At 43.8% G+C, this 24,685-nt stretch overlaps 1 protein-coding gene across 5 annotated transcripts, besides 1 other annotated feature; it reads left to right on the forward strand.

The window, feature by feature from the left end:
- On the forward strand, positions 12,022 to 23,355 carry ZNF776 (zinc finger protein 776). 5 transcript variants are annotated; one of them, NR_145327.2, is made up of 4 exons: positions 12,022 to 12,298; positions 15,992 to 16,118; positions 18,498 to 20,898; positions 22,079 to 23,355. NR_145327.2 is itself a non-coding variant. In NM_001348007.2 (4 exons), exons 1-4 carry the CDS (start codon positions 12,266 to 12,268, stop codon positions 22,256 to 22,258), a joined length of 429 nt encoding a protein of 142 aa, NP_001334936.1. In that variant the 5' UTR covers positions 12,022 to 12,265; the 3' UTR covers positions 22,259 to 23,355. The 5 variants fall into 5 exon arrangements, 2 of the variants coding, with proteins under 2 accessions (NP_001334936.1, NP_775903.3); NR_145326.2 differs by having other exon boundaries at positions 18,498 to 20,003; NM_001348007.2 differs by having other exon boundaries at positions 18,498 to 18,586.
- Positions 12,034 to 12,083: an enhancer, noted in NCBI's record as "active region_15157". NCBI's record gives its function as "activates an Ori minimal core promoter by ATAC-STARR-seq in GM12878 lymphoblastoid cells {active_cell/tissue: GM12878}" and the evidence as "EXISTENCE:reporter gene assay evidence [ECO:0000049][PMID:35858748]".

Genomic DNA, 24,685 nt, shown 5'->3' on the forward strand with positions numbered 1-24,685 from the left:
CTGACACAGTGATAGCTGAAGATGACAACACCCCACTTTCAGCATTGAACAGGCCTTCCAGACAGAAATGGACTTAATCTGCACTATAGAACAAATGGACCTAATAGATATTTATAGAACATTTCATCCAACAGCTTCAGAATACCTATTCTTCTCAGCACATGGATCATTCTCAAAGAAATACTATATGTTAGGCCATAAAATATGTCTTGAAACTTTTTTAAATTGAAATAATATCAAGTACCTTCTCTGACCACAAGGCAATAAAAGTAGAAATCAGTAACAAGTGGACTTTCAAAATGCTACAAACACATGGAAATTAAACAGTCGTCTTCTGAATGACCAGTGGGTCAATTAAGAAATTGAGAAGTTGGGCTGGGCATGATGGCTCACGACTGTAATCCCAGCACTTTGGGAGGTGGAGCCAGGCGGATCACGAGGTCAGGAGTTCAAGACCAGCCTGACCGACATGATGAAACCCTGTCTCTACTAAAAATACAAAAATTAGCCGGGCATGGTGGCACACACCTGTAATCCCAGCTACTCAGGAGGCTGAGGCAGGAGAATTGCTTAAACCCAGGAGGTGGAGGTTGCAGTGAGTGGAGATTGCGCCATTGCACTCCAGCTTGGGAGACAGAGTGAGACTCCATCTCAAAGAGAAAAAAAAAAAAGAAAGAAATTGAAAAGTTTTTTGAGGCCAGGCGCATTGGCTCATGCCTGTAATCCCAGCACTTTGGGAGGCCAAGGCAGGTGGATCACCTGAGGTCAGGAGTTCGAGACCAGCCTGATCAACAAGGTGAAACCATGTCTCTACTAAAAATACAAAAATTAGTCGGGCATGGTGGCGGGCGCCTGTAGTCCTAGCTACTCATGAGGCTGAGGAATTGCTTGAACCCAAGAAGGTGGAGGTGGCAGTGAGCCGAGACTGCGCCGCTGCACTCCAGCCTGGATGATGGAGCAAGACTCTGTCTCAAAAAAAAAAAAAAGAAAAGAAAAGTTTTTTGAAACAAATGATAATAGAAACACAGCATGCCAAAATCTGTGGGATACAGAAAAATAAGTACTAAGAAGAATGTTTATAGCTATAAGTGCCTACATTACAAAAGTAAAAAAAAAAACTTTAAATAAACAACCTAATAATGCATCTTAAAGAATTAGAGATGCTAGAGCAAACCAAACCCAAAGTGAGTAGAAGAAAATAAATAGCTGGGCGCAGTAGCTCACGCCTGCAGTCCCAACACTTTGGGAGGCTGAGGCAGGTGGATCACCGGAGGTCAGGAGTTCGAGACCAGCCTGACCAATAAGGTGAAATTCCATCTCTACTAAAAATATAAAAATTAGCCAGACGTAGTGGCAGGCACCTGTAGTCCCAGCTACTCAGGAGGCTGAGACAGGAGAATTGCTTGAACCCGGGAGGTGGAGGTTGCAGTGAGCCAAGATCACGCCACTGCACTCTAGCCTGGGCAACAGAACAAGACTCTGTCTCAAAAAAAAAAAAAAAAAAAGGAAAATAAAATAATAAAGATTAGAGCAGAAATAAATGAAACTGAAACAAAGAAAACAATACAAATGTGTTCAACAAAATGATTTTTTTTGTTTGTTTGTTTTTTGTTTGTTTTTTTTGAAATGGGGTCTTGCTCTTATCACCCAGGCTGGAGTGCAATGGCAGGATCTCTGTTCACTGCAACCTCTGCCTCCTGGGTTCAAGCAATTCTCCTGCCTCAGCCTCCCAAGTAGCTGGGATTACAGGCACCCACCACCATGCCCGGCTAATTTTTGTATTTTTAATACAGACGGGGCTTTGCCATGTTGGTCAGGCTGGTCTCGAACTCCTGACCTCGTGATCTGTCCACCTCGGCCTCCCAAAGTGCTGGGATTACAGGCGTGAGCCACCACGCCCGGCCGAGAAATTGGTTTTTTGAAAAGTAAACAAAATAAAAAATCCTTTAGCCAGACTAAGAAAGATAAACCAAATAAAATAGAAGTGAGAAAGAAGACTTTACAGCCAATACTGCAGAAATTCAAAGGATCATTAGAGGCTACTATGATCAACTGTATGCCAAAAATTGGAAATTATAGAAAAAATGGACAAATTCCTAGACACATATAACTTACCAAGATGAATTATGAGGAAATCCAAAACCTGAACTGACAAATAGCAAGCAATGAGATTGAGGCTGTAATAAAAATTTTCCCAGCAAAGAAAAGCCTGGGACCCAATGGCTTCACTACTGAATTTTACCAAACATTTAAAGAACTAACCCCAATCCTACTCGAACTATTCCCAAAAATAAGAGGAGGAGAAAATACTTCTAAATTCATCATACAAGGTTGGTATTACCCTGATACTAAAATAATTTTTTTTCTATTTCCATTTCAATAAGAAATAAGAAAAAGTAAAACAAAGACATATTTGAACCTAATATATTCTTCAGTGATATCATTCCTTTACTGTAAGGAATACTTTTTTTTTCTTTTTTCTTTTTTTTTGAGATGGAGTCTTGCTCTGTCACCAGGCTGGAGTGCAGTGGTGCGATCTCGGCTCACTGCACCCTCCTCCGCCCAGGTTCAAGTGATTTCCCCTGCCTCAGCCTCCCAAGTAGCTGGGACTACAGGAGTGCGCCACCACGCCTGGCTAATTTTTTTGTATTTTAGTGGATACTGGGTTTCACCATGTTGACTAGGATGGTCTCGATGGCCTGACCCCGTGATCCGCCCGCCTCGGGCTCCCAAAGTGCTGGTATTACAGGCGTGAGCCACCACGCCTGGCCGGAGTACTTGTTTTTCAATACCACAGGAGCTATGAGCTGGTCCTCCATTTTGTATCAAAGAATGTGTCCCCAGGTGACAAGATGCAGATTCCAAGACATTGAATCAATATGATGCCACCATCGCTTTCTTTCTGTTCTATGACATCTTTCTAGTCTTACCTTACTATTTCCTTGGCTCTCAGTTGGTTTTTCCTGAGTTCTCAGAAATTGAAATAATACACACTTTGTAGAAATAAGAATTTCATGTTAGTCAAGTCTCTAGGATAGCCATGGGCTCCACTTAATTATCTCAGAACTTACAGCCCCATGTCCTCTGCTCACTATCCATTGAGATTTATGTGTTCTCAGACTTCACAGAAACTTTTCTAGCTACTTATGTCATTCTCAGTGGTAACTTCATTTATCCACAATATTAACTAATTTTCTCAGTCCAAGCTGTTTTCCAGAGGTAATCTCCAGTCCCCATGCCGAAACTATCATTGTACTTACTGCTGAAATGATAGTTCCTTCCCAGCAAGAAGGTGAGATTATTGTACCCAGAATCTTTTCTCAGGGTTCAAATATCCACTTTCCCCATGGCAGGAATGCTGACACTCCAGCCACGGTTTTGTAAATGTGAATTAGTAAATACCAACTATTCCCAGGTGAGTGTTGTGGGCAGCAAGCTACCCAGGTGCTGAGGCAAGAGACCGAGGGCATGAGCCATTCCAGTATAATAAAATATATAAAACAACAAGAGTTATACTAGATCTAGATCATAGATGTAATTATATATGAATATCATTAATCATTAGTTTGTAGCAATTACTCTTTATTCCAGTATTATAATAATACTCGCTCTATAATCATAACCTAGAAAAAACCAGGCCATACAGAGATAGGAGCTGAGGGGACACAGTGAGAAGTGACCAGAAGACAAGAGTGCGAGCCTTCTGTTATGTCCAGACAGGGCCACCAGAGGGCTCCTTGGTCTAGCGGTGATGCCAGCATCTGGGAAGTCTGGTCTAGCGGTAGCCTTAGTGTCAAGGAAAAACAACCGCTACTTAGCGGACCGGGAAAGGGAGTCTCCCTTTTCCCCGGGGGGAGTTTAGAGAAGACTCTGCTCCTCCGTCTCTTGTGGAGGGCCTGACATCAGTCAGGCCCACCCGCAGTTATCCGGAGGCCTAACCATCTCCCTGTGATGCTGTGCTTCAGTGGTCACGCTCCTAGTCCACCTTCATGTTCCATCCTGTACACCTGGCTCTGCCTTCTAGATAACAGTAGCAAAATTAGTGAAAGTACTAAAAGTCTCTGATATGCAGAAATAATGGTGTAAGCTGTCTCTCTCTCTCCCTCTCTCTCTCTGCCTTGGCTGCCAGGCAGAGAAGGGCCCCGCGTCCAGTGGACACATGACCCACATGACCTTACCTATCATTGGAGATGACTCACACTCTTTGCCCTGCCTCTTTTGCTTTGTATCCAATAAATAACAGTGCAGCTAGACATTCAGGGCCACTACCAGTCTCCGCGCATTGGTGGTAGTGGTCCCCCGGGCCCAGCTGCCTTTTCTCTTATCTCTTTGTCTTGTGTCTTTATTTCTACACTCTCTCGTCACCGCACACAGGGAGAGACCCACCGACCCTGTGGGGCTGGTCCCTACAGAGTGTTACAATCAGAAGGAACCAGTTCTGCTCTGAGGTTGAGACATACTCTGAGGGACCTGGAGACATGGTGCAACCTCCTCTCCTTGCCTTATGCCTCTCCTCTATATTTCCTCTGAAACCTTCTTTGAATATTCTTCCTTCCATTACTGACTGAAAATATTAAGCCTCACAAAGTCCACTGTAAGATCTTTACCAGTGGGAAATGAAGAAGACTGTTTAAAGTATTTGAGTGGCCATTTAGTGTCTTTATAACATTTTTTGGTTATGCATTTTTGTCTTTTTGGGGGCATGATTTGCAAATTGAGTCTCTGGTATTTTACTAACTTGTGTTTGATGAGTGAAAGAGTTAATACTTCCTCTCCCATTAGTGAAAGGAAAGACACTTCAGAAACATGAATAAAAGATTGTAAATTGGAAATAGTAAGGTAATCAGATATGTAAAGAATCTAGGCCAGGCGTGGTGGCTCACGCCTGTAATCCCAGCATGTCAAGTGATTCTCCTGCCTCCACCTCTCTAGTAGCTGGAATTACAGGCACCTGCCACTACGCCCAGTGAATTTTTGTATTTTTAGTAGAGACAAGGTTTCACCATGTTGGTCATGCTGGTCTAGAACTCCTGACCTCTGGTGATCCACCCACCTCGGCCTCCCAAAGTGCTGAGATTACAGGCATGAGCCACAGCGCCCAGCTTCCTGACATCGCTTAATGCATAATCTCTTCACAGGGTATTTCCAAAGTCCAAGGGCTCTTTCATAACACCTACAACTGGTTCCATCAGAAATGTTTAAAGCATAACAAAATATGTTATCATCGTCCATTTTTTCTATTGTCTCAAAAATATCTTTGTTCTTTAAGCAGCTTCATTGCAATGAAATTCCCAAATGTGGGCGTGGTGGCTCACGCCTGTGGTCCCAGCACTTTGGGAGGCTGAGGCGGGTGGATCATCTGAGGTTGGGATTTTGAGACCAGCCTGGCCAACATGGTGAAACTCTGTCTCTACTAAATACAAAAATTAAAAAAAAAAAAGAAAGAAATTCCCAAATTTATCCCCATGACTTTTAGTAGTTCTGTCTCATATATCTCTATTAATCTACAGGTATGACTTTCCTTTTTAAAATTCCTTTTTTGTGCGGGGTGTGGGACAGGGTCTTACTCTGTCACCCAGGCTGGAGTGCTGTGACACAATTACAGCTAACTGCAGCCTGGACCTCCCTGGGCTAGGTGATCCTCCCACCTCTGCCTCCCAAGTAGCTGGGACTACAGGCAAGCACCACCATGCCTGGCTAAGCTTTTATTTTTTATTTTTTGTAGAGACTGGGTTTCACAATGTTGCCCAGGCTGGTCTCAGACTCCTGGGCTCAAGCAATCCACCTGCTTTGGCCTCCCAAAGTGCTGGGATTACATACATAACCACAATGCCTGGCCTTAAATTTTATTTTATTTTTTTATTTTTTTTGAGACGGAGTCTCTCTCTGTCACCCAGGCTGGAGTGCAATGGTGCAATCTTGGCTCACTGCAACCTCCGCCTCTCAGGTTTAAGCAGTTCTCTGCCACAGCCTCCCAAGTAGCTGGGATTACAGGCGCCCACCACCACGCCCGGCTAATTTTTGTATTTTTAGTAGAGACGGGGTTTCACCATCTTGGCCAGGCTGGTCTTGAACTCCTGACCTCATGATCCACCCGTCTTGGCCTCCAAAAGTGCTGGGATTAGAGGCGTGAGCCACCGCGCCTGGCCAAAATTTTATTTATTTCTTGAAATTGTGTAATTTTTGTATTAGAATTTATTATACTCTAATTTTTTGTGCATATCTCTGATATGATTTAAGTTGTTTACACATGTATAAGCCATAAGCAAACTAGATATTCTTGAAATGGGTGATTCAGGGGTAGTCCCACATAAGTGTGTGATTATGACACAGCCAGAAACACACAGTTGGATTACATTCTCCCAGCATGCTGTGGTACAGTCTGGAAGCAAAAATTTCAAAGAGTGTATGCTCCTGGTGTGTGACAAGTGCCTGAGGGTTATACTGCAGCACAGCCTATAGACAAAACACATATCCCAGGGACCCTGTGTGACAGGTGTGCAGTATTTAAAGACCTCAGTCCGGCAGGGCACGGTGGCTCACGCCTGTAATCCCAACGCTTTGGGAGGCCGAGGTGGGTGGATCACGAGGTCAAGAGTTTGAGACCAGCCTGGCCAACATGGAGAAATCCTGTCTTTACTAAAAATACAAAAATTAGCCATGGGTTGCGCTCACCTGTAGTCCGAGCTATGCGGGAGGCTGATACAGGAGAGTTGCTTGAACCAGGGAGGCGGAGGTTGCAGTGAGCCAAGATCATGCCACCACAGTCCAGTCTGGGGAAAAGAGTGACCCTGTCTCAAAAAAAAAAAAAAAAATCTCAGTCCATCCTAGAGGTGCCCCTGTTATACCTATAGGACTCTGTGTAAGAGGCATTGGGTACTGGCACCTATTGACAGCCTGAGCCGACATAAATATATACCACACTGACAACAAACCCAAGAGGGAGAGATGTGATCCACACAACCAGCATATTCAGAACCCCAAGGGGCTGTTAGACAGAATGGAGGTGGGGTCATACTGGCCACACAGAAGCACAAATGCTACTCAGAGACTTGGGCTTTTAAATTTGCTGATTACAAAGGTTTAGTGGGAGCATAAGCAGGGTATAATCAAGAAAATTTTACTCCACAATAGATAGAAATATACCTTCCAGTGTGTGTAGTCATAATATAATTGGAACACACAATTTTAAACTTCTAGACATTACTGTAGAGTCCTATGTTGATTAAGAATCATCACAGATATTTCTAGAAAGAAGAAAGCAAAATATTACTGATAGTGAAGATGAAATATGCCTATATAACTTGCTGTCATGCAAGGTAACATTTAGGTATTGAGATTCTTTACATCCCTGATTACATTGCCATTTGTAATTTATAATCTTTTATTTACATTTCTAAAGCATCTTGCTTTTATGTGCCTATATATCATGCTGTCATACAAGATAACATTTAGAGGCCAGGCATGGTGGCTCATGCCTGTAATCCCAGAACATTGGGAGGCTGAGGCAGGTGGATCACCTGAGATCAGGAGTTTGAGACCAGCCTGACCAACATGGAGAAGCCCTGTCTCTACTAAAAATACAAAGTTAGCCAGCTACTAGGGAGGCTGAGGCAGGAGAATCACTTGAATCCAGGAGGCAGAGGTTGCAGTGAGCTGACATGGTGCTATTGCACTCCAGCCTGACAACAAGAGCAAGAAACTCCGTCTCAAAAATAACAAAAATGAGAGATATCAGGATTATAAGTAAAACAGCATAGTAATACACTTAAGAATAGATAATCGGTCAGATGTGGTGGCTCATGCCTGTAATCCCTGCACTTTGGAGAGCCGAGGTGGATGGATCACCTGAGGTTGGGAGTTGGAGACCAGCCTGACCCTTTTTTTTTTCTAGTAGAGACAGGAGAAACCCTATCTCTACTAAAAAAAAAAAAAAAAAAAAAAAAACACACACAACCAAATTAGCCGGGCGTGGTGGCACATGCCTATAATTCCATCTACTCGGGAGGCTGAGGCAGGAGAATTGCTTGAACCTGGGAGGCAGAGGTTGTGTTGAGCCAGGATTGTGCCATAGCACTTCACGCTGGGCAGCAAGAGCAAAACTCCGTCTCAAAGAAAAAAAAAAAAAAAAAATTAGCCGGGCGTAATGGCACTGTAATCCCAGCTGCTTGGGAGGCTGAGCCCTGAGAATTGCTTGAACCCAGGAGGTGGAGGTTGCAGTAAGCTGAGATTGCCTCACTGCACTCCAGCCTGGGCGACACAGCAAGACTCTGTCTCAAAAAAAAAAAAAAAAAAGCCGGGCGCAGTGGCTCACGCCTGTAATCCCAGCACTTTGGGAGGCCGAGGCGGGCAGATCATGAGGTCAGGAGATCGAAACCATCTCGGCTAACACAGTGAAACCCCATCTCTACTAAAAATACAAAAACTTAGCCGGGTGTGGTGGCGGGCGCCTGTAGTCCCAGCTACTCGGGAGGCTGAGGAGAATGGCATGAACCCGGGAGGCTGAGCTTGCAGTGAGCGAAGATCACGCCACTTCCTCCAGCCTGGGTCACAGAGCGAGATTCCGTCTCAAAAAAAAAAAAAAAAAAACAAACCACCATGCAATGATAAATAATAATGGATCATTGAGGAAGAATTCATGGGACTTCATTACATAGTCCTTTGTATTTGTGTATATATTTGGAAAAATCCATTACAAAAGGTACAATATGTTCTTGCATCAATAACTTTATACAGGCATACTTTGGAGATAGAACAGGTCAATTTTTTTTTTTTTTTTTTGAGATGGAGTCTCACTGTGTTGCCCAGGCTGGAGTGCAGTGGCGCGATCTCGGCTCACTGCAACCTCCACCTCCCGGGTTCAAGTAATTCTTCTGCCTCAGCCTCCTGAGTAGCTAGGATTACAGGTGCCCCCACCCCCGCCACCATGCCCAGGTAATTTTTGTATTTTTAGTACGGACGGGGTTTCACCATGTTGGCCAGGCTAGTCTCAAACTCCTGACCTTGTGATCTGCCTGGCTTGGCCTCCCAAAGTGCTGGGATTACAGGCATGAGCCACCGCGCCCGGCCGACAGGCTTCTTTATCCCATAAATATCTCTAAATCCCATCATCAAAGAGGCAGATTTGAGAACTGTTCTCCCACCTCTGCACTTGGCAGCCTTGTAAATACATGCTTTCTCTGCTGCAAGACTCATCATCTCAGTGATTGGCATACTGTGAGATGGACAGAACAGGCCTGGTTCTATATCAATAGTGTGGAGGAATTGTTTCATTTTATAGACCAGTATCGTCAGCTTCCTCAGGAACCTTTACTAACATGGATAGTGAGAATAACTAACTTAGGGGAAACATCTTTGGTTTTAAATAATGCAGAGTGGAAGAACATGTTTGGGTTGATGTAGTACCTACAGGTCACTCTTCAACAATTGCAGATAGGTATGTATCATCCACACACACAAGAGTTTATTCCTGAAGGAACAGCCAGCCTGGGTGGGTGTATAAAAGCTACTCTGAAGTCTGTCTACTCGGAAAAGCGGGACTGTCTGACTCCCCCTATAAATGCCAAGTGGGGCTCCCCAGATGAACCAGCTTAATATGCTTCCCATGCAAGCCATGTGGAACTGGCATTATGATGATAGGAATATTTACCTACTGAATATGTTTATTACCCAGGTCATGGTAAATGTCTTGGTTTGGGGAACCCCATTTTCTTGGGCACCTTATGTAAACTTACTGCTGCAAAATTGAGCTATAGTCAGTCTTACCAAATTTGCTTCCTATTATGGGCCTTTCAGATGCTAATAAAACCATTAGATTAATTAATAAGATAGACAATGATGAAAGGTACAGGGGAGAGTCAAACAGCTCCTTCCAGGAAGGTAGAAATTTTTAAATAGTTATAAAGAAATAAGACAAATAAAGAAAACATGGATAGGAATGAAACTAAGAGGAAAAAGAAAAGGGGGAAATCATGATACTCATCCCAGCATGGTGGAAATCTTTAGATGGCTATTAGATGGAAATTAGATGAATAAAATAAAAACTGATCGGATTAAAACAAAATTCTGAATATAACACTATTGAAGGTTGGGTGGACCAAAGGAAGTTCCTGTTGATCCCCCAACATTAAAGGGCCTTAAGCTAAGTTGCTGTAGTTCCTGAAGTTTGGATAAATTTTAAAAGCCAGAAGGTAAAGATATAATGAGAAACCCCACCTGGAATGCCTAGGGTGATGGTTAGACTGGTTAATCAAGGTAGCACTTGGAAAAAAGGCCAAAGTCTCCTGGCCTGAACCCTGGGTGGAAACCTGAAGACATCTGCACAAGAAAGGGTAAAATGGTCTGGAGAGAAGAGTCCTGGGACTACAACATAAAGTAAAAGTTGACAGGACTATGAAAGTTGGAATGTTAAACATGCTTTTTTTTTTTTAAGTTGTACTACCAATAAACTGAGTTCTTTCCCTACTTTGTATTGGTCACAAAAAAAAGAACACCCAATTTGGGAAAAAAAAAAAAAAAGGCAAGCAAGTTTTATTTCTGAGCAGAAATGGAGAATGAGTAAGCTCTTGCTCTAAATGCCTCTTCTCCCTGAACATAGAAGACATAGGTTTTTTAAGAACTGAGCGGCTGGGTACAGTGGCTCATGCCTTTAATCCCAGCACTTTGGGAGGCCGAGACAGGTGGATCACCTGAGGTTGAGAGTTCGAGACCAGCCTGACCAACATGGAGAAACCCCGTCTCTACTAAAAATACAAAATTAGCCAGGTATGGTGGCTCATGCCTGTAATCCCATCCATAACATTAATTTATTAGGCAAAACACTCCTTGCCATGGAAACAGAAATAAAGAATAGTCACAAAAAAAAAAAAAGAAAAGAAATAAATAAAGTCTGTTTTATCTAATACAAAAAAAAAAAAATAGCCACTTCCCAGCAATAACATGAACTCCTGGATTTAAGACACAACCAATATCAACAGGTGGAGAGCATCTTCTGCATACGTGCCCCACCTTTGAAAACTGCAGCCATTTATCACTACCAAAATAGCATTTCTTTCATTGGTCTTCCTGTAAGATTGATAAATCTTAGATAAATTAATCCAGAATTAATTGAATATAAGTTGGAATCTCAAGCGAGGGATACTAAGTGGATAAAAGTGTTGCTCAATGTACTGGACACTATGATTGATTTTATAGGCAGGAGAGTTGTCTTCTGTGGGAATCACAGACAGAGATTCAGCATGTATTCCTGCTTTAGGGAACACAACATTTCTCCTCTATCTTCCTTGTCTTGTCCTATCTGGATTAGTTCTCTCTTGTCCCTGACAGACTGAGAAACTGACTCTAATGCCTCAGAGTGCATTCATGTGAATTTATAACACAATAATGTTTATCAGCCTCTGCTGCCAGTACCGGGATTTTGCGACTGAAAGACTGTTCAAAACGTTATGATAATTTGGATTTTTAGTCTTTGGGGGCATCCTAAATAATAAGTTTAGCATCGGAGAGCTCGAGTTCCCCAAAATCTAAAATAATATTTTTTCAAATACTTGAGTGATCAGTTACAGACACTAATCTCCAAAAATCTCAATACGGGTTCTAAGGCTAGGTGAGACTATCCTCTACCCTAGAAGGACATGCACTTTAAGGACAGGCCGCTGAGATGGAGCTGGGCCTTTCCTGCAAGTAAGTGAACGTGATGGTAGGGTATACCTGACAGCATAGTTTGACAGGGGATATAGACTTTCAAGGAGAAAATAGACATGAAATAGATACATGCAGAAGTATAGTCAAATTGAGGGAAGATGACACTTAGGCCAGAGTAGTGTTTATTCACCACTCTGTGCAATCAAGCGCCTCTGAGAAGGCCTTCTTTACCGCCTTGGAACTGTCTTGGAACCTGAGGAAACTACATAACCCAGAAATCTCTGCGTCGAATGACAGCGCGTCAGAGCCAATGAGGGCTCAAAATAAAGGCGTTTCCGCGGAAACAGTATAAAGGTGGGACTTCCGGCGTCCTCTACTAGTGGCCATTTTGATTGGTGTTGGGTGTATTTTCCAGTGAGAGACCGCGGAGTGTTGGGTCGTGTAGAAGTGACTGAACCCAGAAGGTGGAGACGAGACGTTGTCCCGACTGCACAGAGGCTGCTCTGCAGCTCCTTAAAGGCGCTAGGCGTGACCCGCACCAAGGCCGGGATCGGGACCACCGTGCCCGGGTACCTGCACTGCTCGCCCCCTCCTTTCGACCCCGCTTTCCCCACCCAGTCGGATGGCGGCGGCCGCGCTGAGGCCCCCGGCTCAGGTAATTGTGGCGTCTTCCGTGCCCTCAGGTCACCTCATCTTTACCTAAGTCCAAAAGCAGAGAGGAAGCGGCGCCTGCTCAAGGTTTTACACCCTGAACCCGGCGTCGGGACACTGAGGCGCTCTCTATGGGCCCCCGTTTTTGACACCCGCGGGATGCGCTCAGGAGAGCTACAGGCACAGGGAGCGGTGCAGGCAAAGGCCTGGAGATGAACTGAGCCGAGAGGATCGTAACCTAGGGTCCACAGGCACCTGTCGGGAGCAAAGTGTGAGGCAGAGCTCCTCCTGGAAGAGCAGGCTGAGGACCGTGTATTCACCCTGAGAACGCTGGAAGCCATGGACAGCTTCCAACAAAGGAAGGAAAAGATCAATGTCCAGGCTTTAAAGGTTTCCCAAAGTCCAGTCGAAAAAGAACACAGGGGATGACTTTTGGGCCCTGGGAGGTTGAATTCTTGTTCAACCTCTACAGATCAGATAGGTGCTAAGAGATGACATTTTGTACTGAGGCGCTCAGTTCAGACAACCAACTCGCGTTTACCTAGTTACAGGGCCAAGAAAGAGTTCAGGGAGGCCTGAGCTTATCAAATCTCATCAGGGATACATTCTTGTAGCTTGTGCCTCTCCTCTCAGGAACTCCTGGCTGCAGAAGCACTTGCAGAACCTCCGCAGGGAAGCGGAGGGTGTTATTCCCTCACTGGCCCTAACTCCTATCCACATGCTCTTTAGATTGGGATGTCCTGGGATTCTTAGGTACCTTTTTTTTTTTTTTTTTAAGTTTTTTGATATGGGAACCCTGGAGGAACCTTAAACCCAGGATCCAAAGTCTGTGACACAGGATATATGGAGGTATTCCCATTTCTGTCAACCAGTATAAACATACTTGGAAGGTTAACCCAGGAGTTAGTACCAGGATGTGAAATGCTTAGAGGTGAAACTGACCAGAGGGAGGAGGTGATGTTGCCACAGTTTCATCTGGCTGTAGTCTCCTCTGGCTGTACAGTGGAGAACAGACTGTGGGGTTGAGAGAGGAGGAAATAAGATGAGAGTTGAGGCTTTTGCCGTAATCCAAGTGAGGGTTAACAGACTAAGATTCATGGCTAAGGAGATGTGGCTGGATTCAAAGTTGATATTTTGTTACAGCATCTAGGTTTCCTAATACACAAAGTAAGGGCATGAAGAGAGCAATCAGGATCCCGAGGTTTTTGGTCTTAGTAGCTGTAGCTATGGAAGCTGCATCAGCTGAGATGAGCATGTTGGTAATAAACATAATTAGAATATTATGCAAATATCAGGATGACTGTTATGGCCATATGAAGAGTCAGAGACGAATAAGTGTAGGCATCAAATGGCTATGGACATGCAGGTTGGGGTATCTGGAAAGGGATTGACACTGGAGACATCTAATATATGGTAGCTAATGTGTATGCTATGGTGAGTGAGCCATGGGTCACATTAAGGAGAACACACTTCAGATTCTGGTGGTAAATCTTTTAGGGGACCAGAAAGCAGTGGTTGAATGATGAGGACTGCATCTGTTGCTTGGGTCCCTGGGTAATGTTACTGGGCTTCCTAAACACTGGAGAGGTAGGTAAGTGACCATGATGGTAGGGTATACCTGTCAGCATAATTTGACAGGGGACATAGACTTTCAAGGAGAGAATAGACATGAAATAGATATATGCAGAAGTGTAGTCAAATTGAGGGAAGATGACACTTAGGCCAGAGTGGTACTTATTCACCACTCTGTGCAATCAAGATTTGAGATGACTTTGGTAGTGTGTGGGGGGTTTCATTACACGTGCTGAATATGCTCAGGGAGAAATATGGTCATCTGTGACAGTAGGTCTTGGGCCTTAAATGGATTAAAAACAGGACTTTTTTTTTTTTTGAGACGGTGTCTCACTCTGTCGCCCAGGCTGGTGTACTGGTGTATAGTGGCGCAATCTTGGCTCATTACAACCTCCACCTCCCAGGTTCAAGTGATTCTCCTGCCTCAGCCTCCCGGTAGCTGAGAATACAGTTGCGTGCCACCACGCCCCACTAATTTTTTTTTGTATTTTTAGTAGAGATGTGATTTCACCATATTGGCCAGGCTGGTCTCGAACTCCTGACCTCATGATCCACCTGCCTCAGCCTCCCAAAGTGCTAGGATTACAGGTGTGAACCACCATGCCCATCCAGGACTGCTCTTTAAATGGCAATGGTATTAGGTGAATGGAAGTTGGTCCGTGTTGCTGAAGGGTAAGCCATTGTAGCACAGAAGTGGAATAAGACCATGGATATCTGAAGTTACATGTGGTTTTGCATGGATGTGGAGTAATGCAAGGAGGCATTCATAGAATTATTAGGGACTACCACTGCTAATGGGAACCATGGTCATTTTGTGTTATTATTGGATCCTGTTTGAATATGTGAAGCATATTGGATGCTGTCAGCCATATTGTGGTATAAAGCCAAAAATGGAGGCCCAATATGATGTGTCACCTTGACATCTAGTGATATTGGTATGACCTCAAATGACCTGAGAACCAATTCCCTTCCCACTAGGCTCTTTTAGATAATAATCAGCATGGCCTAATAATCCTTTTATTAGGGAGACCAGGCAGAATTCCTGGTTATTATACTTTGTAGTGAGTTTCAATTTTATCCTTACCCACAGTGTTATTCAAACAAGCCAGTTGCATCCTCCTAAGGGATTCGGGGGTCATCACACCCTCTTCATTTTAAAAGCTTGCATATCATAGTTTCTGGTTATGCACTCTTATCCATAGTGCAACCCCTATGTGGTCCTTCATGATGAGGGATGTCCTCTTCTAGACTTTGAGTGTATTTGATTTTTAAACATATTTATAGCACCTGTCTAGTGTTTGATGTCATGTGTTTGGTCATTAATATAACTGTAAGGTGAAAATCTCACCCTTACTGGTAGAAGGAAGAAGAGGGTATAAACATACTTTAACTTGTGGGGAGGCAGAGGCCAATGTGGGAGGCAGTTTAGTGGGGGTGGCCATGGGCATGTGTCTGTGCAGTCTAAAGAATGATGTGTATTTTGGCCTAGCACAGTGGCTCATGCCTGTAATCCCAGCACATTGGGAGGCTGAGGTGGGTGAATCACTTGAGCTCAGGATTTCGAGACTAACCTGGGCAACATAGTGAAACCTTCTCTCTACCAAAAATACAAAAAAAAAAAAAAATTAGCCGGCACGGTGGCATGCACCTGTATCCCATCTACTCGGGAGGCTAAGGCCAGAGAATTACTCGAGCCCAGTAGACAGAGGTTGCAGAGAGCTGAGATTATGTCATTGCACTCCAGCCTGGGCAACAGGAGTGAAACCCTATCTCAAAAAAAAAAAAAGCAAAAAAAAGGAATGATGTGTATTTAGAGAAGGAGTATGTCTGATAGACTGAGGATGCTGCATTGGGATTTACATGACTTCATCTCTACCAGGGGCATTGGCTATCAGGAAGTTATGGACCGCTTTATATCAGCACCAAAACATAGAAATCTATTGTTTCACCCACTTCTTGTGGCTGATGGCTGTACACCATGACCAGTGAGCCCATGAGAAGATAGTGACACCAGTGGGCCTAGTTTCTCCTTGTAGTTTAGGACCTTGGGAGGAGGAAGGGCAAGGGTGGATAAGTGGATGAGCATATGGAGTGTTTGTGGTTTCATCTGTCATCATCACGGCAGGGCACTGTGACCTTTGAAGATGTGGCTGTGAACTTTTCCCAGGAGGAATGGAGTCTCCTTAGTGAGGCTCAGAGATGCCTTTATCATGACGTGATGCTGGAGAACCTGACACTTATATCTTCTCTAGGTAAGGCACTCACACTCTTCTCTATGACCTCAGCTATTGTCTGTCTGTCCCCATCTTTTTTCCCCATGGCAAGACTGTTTTCCTCACTTCAGGAGCCTGGGCACAGGTTCCTCTGTTAGTTCCCTGGGTAGGTTCTATGTGGTATGTAGGACTGAGGTGTGTGCACTGCCCTCTCTCTCCTTGAGCAGCCCCAACACCTGCTTTGCTGCAAGCTCCCAGAGAAGGAGCTTTACAGGCACCATAATGCATCCCACCTTGCTTGCCCTCTGGCTGTTGAGTAATTTTTCTAGATCAGAGACTGGTATGCACAGGTTCTACTTCCTTGCTCTAGGTGACATTTATTCATGACTGCCTGTGCTAGGAATTCCTCCCATCACTGATGTTCTCAATACTTACATGCACCATAGGTTGTTCTTGCAAGACCCTCCTTATAAATTATCTTGTTTGTTTTGTTTTGTTCTGTTTTGTTTTCAAAGTCTTAACTCTGTCACCCAGGCTGGAGTGCAGTGCTGCAGTCATAGCTCACTGTAGCCTCAATCTCCCAGGCTCAAGCAATCCTCCTTCCTCAGCCTCTAGAGTAACTCGGACTAGAGGCTTCTGCCATCACATCCCACTAATTTTTATTTTTATTTTTAATAGAGATGAGGTCTGGCTGTATTGCCCAGGCTGGTCTCTGACTCCCAACCTCACGTGATCCTCCCACCTCATCCTCCCAAAGTGCTGGGATTACAAGCATGAGCCAGTGTGCCCTGAGTATTTTTTGCTTTTTTGTTTTTTTTTTTTTCAGACAGGGTTTCACTGTCATCCAGGCTGCAGTCTACTGATGCAATCATGGTTCACTTCATTCTCAGCCTTCTGGGCTCAAGTAATCCTCCCACCTGACTCCTAAGTAGCTGGGACTACAGGAGCATGCCACCCTGCCCAACTAATTTTTGTTCATTTGTATTTTTGGTTTTGTTTTTTTTTTTTTTTTTTTTTTGAGACGGAGTCTTGCTCTGCCACCAGGCTGGAGTGCAGTGGCCCAATCTCGGCTCACTGCAACCTCCGCTTCCCAGGTTCACACCATTCTCCTGCCTCAGCCTCCCGAGTAGCTGGGACCACAGGCACATGCTGCCACACCTGGCTAATTTTTTTGTATTTTTAGTAGAGACGGGGTTTCACCGTGTTAGCCAGGATGGTCTCGATCTCCTGACCTTGTGATCCACCCGCCTCGGGCTCCCGGAGCTGGGATTACAGGCGTGAGCCACCGTGCCCGGCCTCATTTGTTTGTTTTGTAGAGATGGTGTCTCATTATGTTACCCAGGTTGGTCTTGAACTCCTAGGGTCAAGTAGTCCTTCCAGTTTGGCCTCCCACAGTGCTGGGATTATAGGTGTGAGCCACTGCACCTGGCCAAAAATTATCTTTGTAGTATTTAGTTTTCTTTCCTATGGGCTATCATGTGCTGATTTTTTCTGAACTGTTGGTTGGCTATTCTTCTCTCTTGTCTTTCTCTTATTCTTTATGTCATCCATGTCTCATGTAAATTCCATGTATATCTTTGCAGTGGGACTGAGAGTTCTCAGTGATCCAGAAGTTGCAGCTAAACCCAGGCTCAGCATGATGGGCCCAGAGGGAGGCCACCTCTGAGGAGTAACACCCTGGAGGAAGACATAACATTAGGGATTTAGGAAAGTCATGCTAGAAGCTCTCTGATTTCACAAGTATTTACCTGGCAACATGACGAGCCATATGCTGTTTCTGTCTTCCCCATTCTTGAGAGTTTCAGACTTCACCGTTCTATACCCTGTCACTTCTCCTCTGATGCCAGCCCAGGACTAATCTTCACATCTCTGGATCCCACCTGGACCCATTTTTCTCACATTTCCATCTGCAGTGGACTCCAATACTGGCATATCAATTTTGTATTAGGAAGTGTGTACACATTGCTAAGCCATACCTGACCAACAGCTGCTTTGTTGTACTCGTATTTTCTTGTGACACACAAACAAGTGTATCTTTGTTGTACTCGTATTTTCCTGTGACACACAAACAAGTGTATCTAACAGAGGTATTACTCCATGGAAATAATTGCAGAAACAGAATGTTGCCTTTAGGTTGAAGATAAGTCTTCTTCATATTACTGGGTTAGAATGATTACAGAATGTAGGGGGCCACATGATGTGAAGGAGCCAACAATACATGCACTACAGGAAGCAGAGGCAATTCCTTCCTGTGCAAACATCTAAAGGACCTTCATAAAGCATGTGGGTGCTATATAAAAGGATATGTCTAGGCCCAAGTAAATATAAGTACAACAAAGCAGCTGTTGATCAGGTATGGCTTAGTAATACTTCCCTTCGGAAGTACCTTGCATTTTACCAGCATTTTATTTCTTTTAGGTTGTTGGTATGGAGCAAAAGACGAGACACCTTCTAAGCAGACCCTTTCTATACAACAGGAGTCCCCACTCAGGACACATTGGACAGGTGTATGTACCAAGAAGGTCCACCTCTGGGGAATGTGTGGCCCTCTCCTGGGAGATATCTTACACCAGGGAACACAACACAATCAGAAATTGAATGGGTTTGGGGCATATGAAAAAAAATTGGATGACGATGCAAACCATCATCAAGACCAGAAGCAGCACATTGGAGAGAAATCGTACAGAAGCAATGCCAAGGGAACATCTTTTGTAAAGAACTGTAAATTCCATATGTCACATGAGCCATTTATCTTTCATGAGGTTGGGAAAGACTTTTTGTCCAGCTTGAGATTACTCCAACAAGAGGACATTCACACTTCAGGGAAGTCAAACTTTGAAACTAAGCATGGGATACCCCTTCAGGGTGGAAAAACTCATTACATCTGTGGAGAGTCCACAATACCGTTTAGCAACAAACACTCACTTGTCCTTCACCAGAGACTTCTCCCTAGAGAAGGACCTTATGTATGCAGTGATTCTGGGAAATTCACTAGCAAAAGTAATAGTTTTAATAATCATCAGGGAGTTCGCACTGGAAAAAGACCTTATCAGTGTGGACAATGTGATGAATCATTTTGGTATAAGGCCCACCTCACTGAACACCAGAGAGTTCACACTGGAGAAAGACCTTATGAGTGTGGAGAATGTGATAAATCTTTTAGTCATAAGCACAGTCTTGTTGACCATCAGCGAGTTCACACTGGAGAAAGACCTTATGAATGTGACGAATGTGGGAAATCTTTTAGCCATAAGCGCAGCCTTGTTCACCACCAGCGAGTTCACACTGGAGAAAGACCTTATCAGTGTGGAGAATGTGGGAAATCGTTTAATCACAAGTGCAACCTCATTCAGCATCAGCGAGTTCACACTGGAGAAAGACCTTTTGAGTGTACGGCATGTGGGAAGTTATTTAGGAGCAACTCCCACCTAAAGGAACACCAGAGAGTTCACACTGGAGAAAGACCCTATGAGTGTAAAGAATGTAGGAAATCATTTAGGTACAAGTCACACCTCACTGAACACCAGAGAGTTCACACTGGAGAAAGGCCATATGAGTGTAGAGAATGTGGGAAATGTTTTCATCAAAAGGGCAGTCTCATTCAACATCAGCAGATCCACTCTGGAGAAAGGCCACATGAGTGTGGAGAATGTGGGAAATGTTTTCATCAAAAGGGCAGTCTCATTCGACATCAGCAGATTCACTCTGGAGAAAGGCCACATGAGTGTGGAGAATGTGGAAAGTGTTTTCGTCAAAAGGGAAACCTCATTAAACATCAACGAGTTCACACGGGAGAAAGACATCATGAATGTTGAAAATTTGGCAGATCTGTTGGTAAAAAGAGCACCCTCATTCAACATTCGTGAGATCACACTGGAAAGCACTTATGAGTATGGAGAATGTGCAAAATCATCTAGCCAAAAGGTTGGCCTCATTCAACAATAGCAAGATCACACTGGGGAAAGGCTTTCTGAGTGTAGAGAATGTATGAAATCCTGTACATAGAAGTTTTGCCTCACCAAATACCAGAAGGGTCACACTGGAGAAAGACCCTATAGTTATGGGGAATTTGGGAAATTACCTAACAAGAAGTCCCACCTCACTGAACACTACTGAGTTCACAGTTGAGAAAGGCCATATGACTGTAAGGAATTTGTAAAATTATTTAGCCAGAAGAGCTGCATTACTATTCATCAGATAATTTACAATGGAGAAAGGCCACATAATAATTTCTCACATAATAAATGTGAGAAATCATTTCCGTACAGCTCTGCGCTCCATGTTCGTAAGAGTTCACACTGGACAAAGCCTTATGAGAGCAGCGAGTAGAAAATCCTTTGTGGGAAAACTCTGGTTTCATTAAACACAGGAGAGTTCATGCTAGAGAAAGGCCTCAACAGTGTAGCAAATATGGAAAGACATTCACTAGAAGCTCTGCCCTGCAAGTTCACACTAGAGAAAGCCCTTCTCAGTGAAGTAAATTTGGAAAATTGATTAGTCAAACCTCTATGCTCCTTCAAAATCAGAGTTCACACTGGATCAAGGCTTTATGGTGTGACAAATATGGCACATTCTTTATCTAAATGTCTAACATATTATGCACAGACAAGCTCCTGCTGTGGAAGTGCCTTTTGAGTGCAGAGCATTTGCGAGGGCTTCACTCTTCTTTCACTGGATACCAGAATGTTGACAGGAGAAAAATAACATAGATGTGTGGGAATATTACTTCTTGTCCAGTGTAACTGTGGGAGAGAGCCCTTATGAGGACACCATCAACCTATATTGAATGTCATATGTCCAGTAGCTGCATAAATTCCAGGTATATGGGAGCTGTATTGCATTTCTTATCCTGCGTATGTCCTTGCCAGATTTATTTCATTCTTAGGTCTCTGGCAAAAGCCATTTCATCTCTACCACTTGGCAGGTACCTACAGTGCATCACTCATGCACTCCATCATATTCCAGAAAAAAAGTTCAAGTTGTCTCCCATTCAGCAGTGGTATTTTTGAGTAGCCTCTGCACTCGTTCCTTTCTCATTTCTCTATGAAGAGTTAGGCCATGGACCTGACTCAGTTCTGGCCTAGAGCAGAAGTGTCCAATCTTTTGGCTTTCCTGGTCCACATTGGAAGAAGAATTGTCTTGTGCCGCATATGAAATACATTAACACTAATGATAGCTGATGAACTTTTTTAAAAAATCACACAAAAACCCTCATAATGTTTTAAGAAAGTTTACAAATTTGTGTTGGGCTGCATTCAAAGCTGTCCTGAGATACATGCGGCCCACAAGCTGCGGGTTGGACCAGCTTGGCCTAGAGAATTTTTCTGATTACTTGACAAGATGGGCTGTCTTTCCTAGGAATCTCATGATTGTCATGATTCTTAAAATGGAATTTTCCAGCCTCTTAACTCACCAACCCAAGTACAAGCTGCCTCTCATTGTTCTGGTTTCTGCTATGATGAAGTCCTTATTTAAGCTTCCTTCAATCTTGGGAATTGTATTGACTGTATTGTGTGAATTGTATACTCACTGCATTGTGTGGCTTAGATACAACATGGTTCTGGTACCATGAAGGATTCTGGTACCATGAAAGTTTGTTGGGGTTACTAAACTGTGTGACTCTTAGGGAACAGTATGAAGGCAGAATATAGCTCTGCATTTGTGGCCTAGTTTGGATGGCTGCCTAAGGCCTCCAAATAAAGACTTCAGGGCTTTGTGATCTTTATTTTTAGATGAAATAGTGCAATAATATGTGTTTTCATAAATCAACCTGAGTAGGGGACAGTTTTAGTGACACACTTTGGTGCTTCTGAGAACAGCACAAAATTATTCTCTTGTTTATAATGGATATTGCATTCTGCTCAGTACTGGTGAGGGAAATCTGTTCTCAAGTCCTACAGTGCATTCATGTGTCCTGAAGTCCAGAATTCTGTAGGATAGTGTCCTACGTTATAAGCCTGGAGAAAGAAATCATAATTCTTTAATTTTTATTTTTTTAGGGAAATGATGTCACTCTGAAACTCAGGCTGGAATACACTGGCATGGTCATACCTCACTGCGGCCTCAAACTCCTGGGCTCAAGTGATCCTCCTGCCTCAGCCTCCCGAGTACCTGAGATTAGCCCAGGTAATTTAAGAATTTTTTATAGAGATAGGGTTTTGCTATTTTACCCTGACTGATGTTCAACTCCTGGCCTCAAGTAATCCTCTAGCATACGCCCTTGAAAGCACTAGGATTACAGGTGTGAGCCACCATGCCCAGCCCAAAAATAATTTTTGTAGAATTAGCATTTCTAGGTAGTGAAGCAGACTGCAACAGAATAGTTGGGATATACTTTTTTTAAAAAGGCATCCACAATGATTCAGTCACTATGTCTGTGATGGACAAGCAGGTACAGAAATTTTCAGGACCTCCATAATTATGAATCTAGTGTAGCTTAGGTCATTGTCAGACTAAATCTAAAGGTTTTGTGGATTTCTGTAGCCTATCTGGGCTGCATACCAAAAAGCCATCCCTGAATTAGTAGGAGGAAGAGGATAGGGAGAAAGGAAATCTCTTAGTCCAGTGATGTGGCCTTTGCAACCAGCCAGCATTCCAATTTAATCAGGTGGAAATGATCTTCCTGGCTCATAAGTATTTGGTATCACACAGGCTAATTGCCCCCCTTAGGGCGTGATGAGAGTTAGGAGAGTCAATGTAAAATCACATAACCTATTTGTCAAAAATAATGTTAAATCCAGATAGTTCTTTCAAATTAAATTTTTAAAGCTGTAATAAGACTGGGCATGGTGACTCATGCCTGTTATCCCAACACTTTGGGAGTCCAGGGTGGGAGTATTGCTTGAGGTAAGAAGTTTGAGACTAGCCTGGGTCCCATAGTAAGACCCTGTCTCTTAAAAAATAAATACTATCTTTCTCTCTGGCCTCTCCATGCTCCAGACAATCACTGAATTACAATATTTGCTTAACAGTAGATTAATGTCAATTTTCTGGAATTTTATATGACTGATATAACATGTTTCCTCTTTTCATACCTGAGTACTCTCCTGAGCCCTATTTATTTAGATGTTCTTCTTTTTTCTTTATTATTATTTTTATTTCACATAGCAGGGATGCATATTTTGACATTCATCAATCATGATATATGAGTAGTTCATTCTTTTTATCTTAGAATATGACATGCTATGGAAATCACTGTATACGAATTCATCTGCTTATGGATATGTTATTGCTTCTTATTTTTGTCTGTTAGGAATAAAACTGCTTGTTAAGCACATTTGAATGCAATTCTTCATATAGATAAGGTTTCATTTCTCTTGTTTGAATGCCTTGGTGTGCAGTGCCCAACTCACATGGTAGATGAATGTATACCCCTCTCCCAACTCCAGGCCGCACAGCTTACAGCTCCAAGAGAGACTCCTTCCCTCCACTTGAGGAGAGGAGAGGGAAGAATAAAGAAAACTTTGTCTTGGAACTTGTTCCAGCTCAGCTACAGTAGGATAGGGCACCAGGCTGAGGCCCCTATTCTAGGCCCTAGCTCTGAATGACATTTCTAGATATACCCTGGGCTAGAAGAGAACCCACTTCTTTGAAAGGGAGGATCCAGTCCTGGGAGGATCCATCACCTGCTGACTAAAGAGTCATTGGGCCCTGAATAATCAGCAGTAATACACAGGCAGTACTCACCATGTGCCATTGGTGAGACTCAGACGCTGGCTTCAGGTGTGACCCAGCACATTCCCAGCTGTGATGGCTTTCAGGAATGACTCCTGCTTGAGAAACAGAAGAGTAAAGAAGACTTTGTCTTACCGCTTAGATACCAGTTTGGCCACAGTAGGGTAGAGCACCAAGTAGGCTCTTAGGGTCCCTAATTTCAGGCCTTGGCTCTTGGATGGCCAGAGGAAAGCCCACTGCCCTGAACAGTGTCCCAAGCCTGGCAGCACTCACCACAAGCCTGTGAGTCCCACAGTCCTGGACTGGTGAGGACCATGGGGAGAGACACCTCTGCTTGTGAAAACAGGAGGGAAGAGTGAGAAGGATTTTGTCTTATGGCTTGGGTGCCAGTTCACCTGCAGTAGAACACCAGATAGATTCCTAAGGTTTCCCACTACAGGCTCTGGCTCGCAGATGGCTTTTCTGAATGTGCCTAGGATGGGGAGGAGCTTGCCACTCTGAAGGGAAGGACATAAACCTCGCTGGTTTTGCCCCCTGCTGATTGTAGAGTCCTAGGGCCTTGAACAAACAGGGAGTAGCCAGGAAGTGGTCAGTATGAGCCTTGGGCAGCACCCAGTTCTCTGCTGGCTACAGGTCTGACCCCACATAGTCCCATTGGTGGTGGCACAGGGGTACTTGTGTTACTGCTCCTCCAGCTAAAGGCAGCTCAGCACAAAGAAACTTTGGAAACCTGCCAGCAGGAGACTCAATGACCCCCATGAACACTTGAGCTGGCAGGGAGAGCTGCTTAGAGAAGTGGTAGGGACAGAACTCCAGCCAGTGCAGAGCCCAGAGGATTTGGGGTGGGAGCATCTCTAGTGGAGCACAGCTAGACACGCCCATATTTCAAGGTTCGCCTTGCTTCCCTAACAGACTTTAGCCCTAGGGAAGTC

Source organism: Homo sapiens, chromosome 19 (assembly GCF_000001405.40).
Source record: "Homo sapiens chromosome 19, GRCh38.p14 Primary Assembly".
Taxonomy (NCBI): domain Eukaryota; kingdom Metazoa; phylum Chordata; class Mammalia; order Primates; family Hominidae; genus Homo; species Homo sapiens.

Coding starts and splice junctions, on each gene's coding strand:
- ZNF776 (NM_173632.4), top strand. CDS start 12,266: ATGGCGGCGGCCGCGCTGAGGCCCCCGGCTCAG. Junction 12,299..15,991: donor CGCTGAGGCCCCCGGCTCAG/GTAATTGTGGCG, acceptor TCATCACGGCAG/GGCACTGTGACCTTTGAAGA. Junction 16,119..18,497: donor GACACTTATATCTTCTCTAG/GTAAGGCACTCA, acceptor TATTTCTTTTAG/GTTGTTGGTATGGAGCAAAA.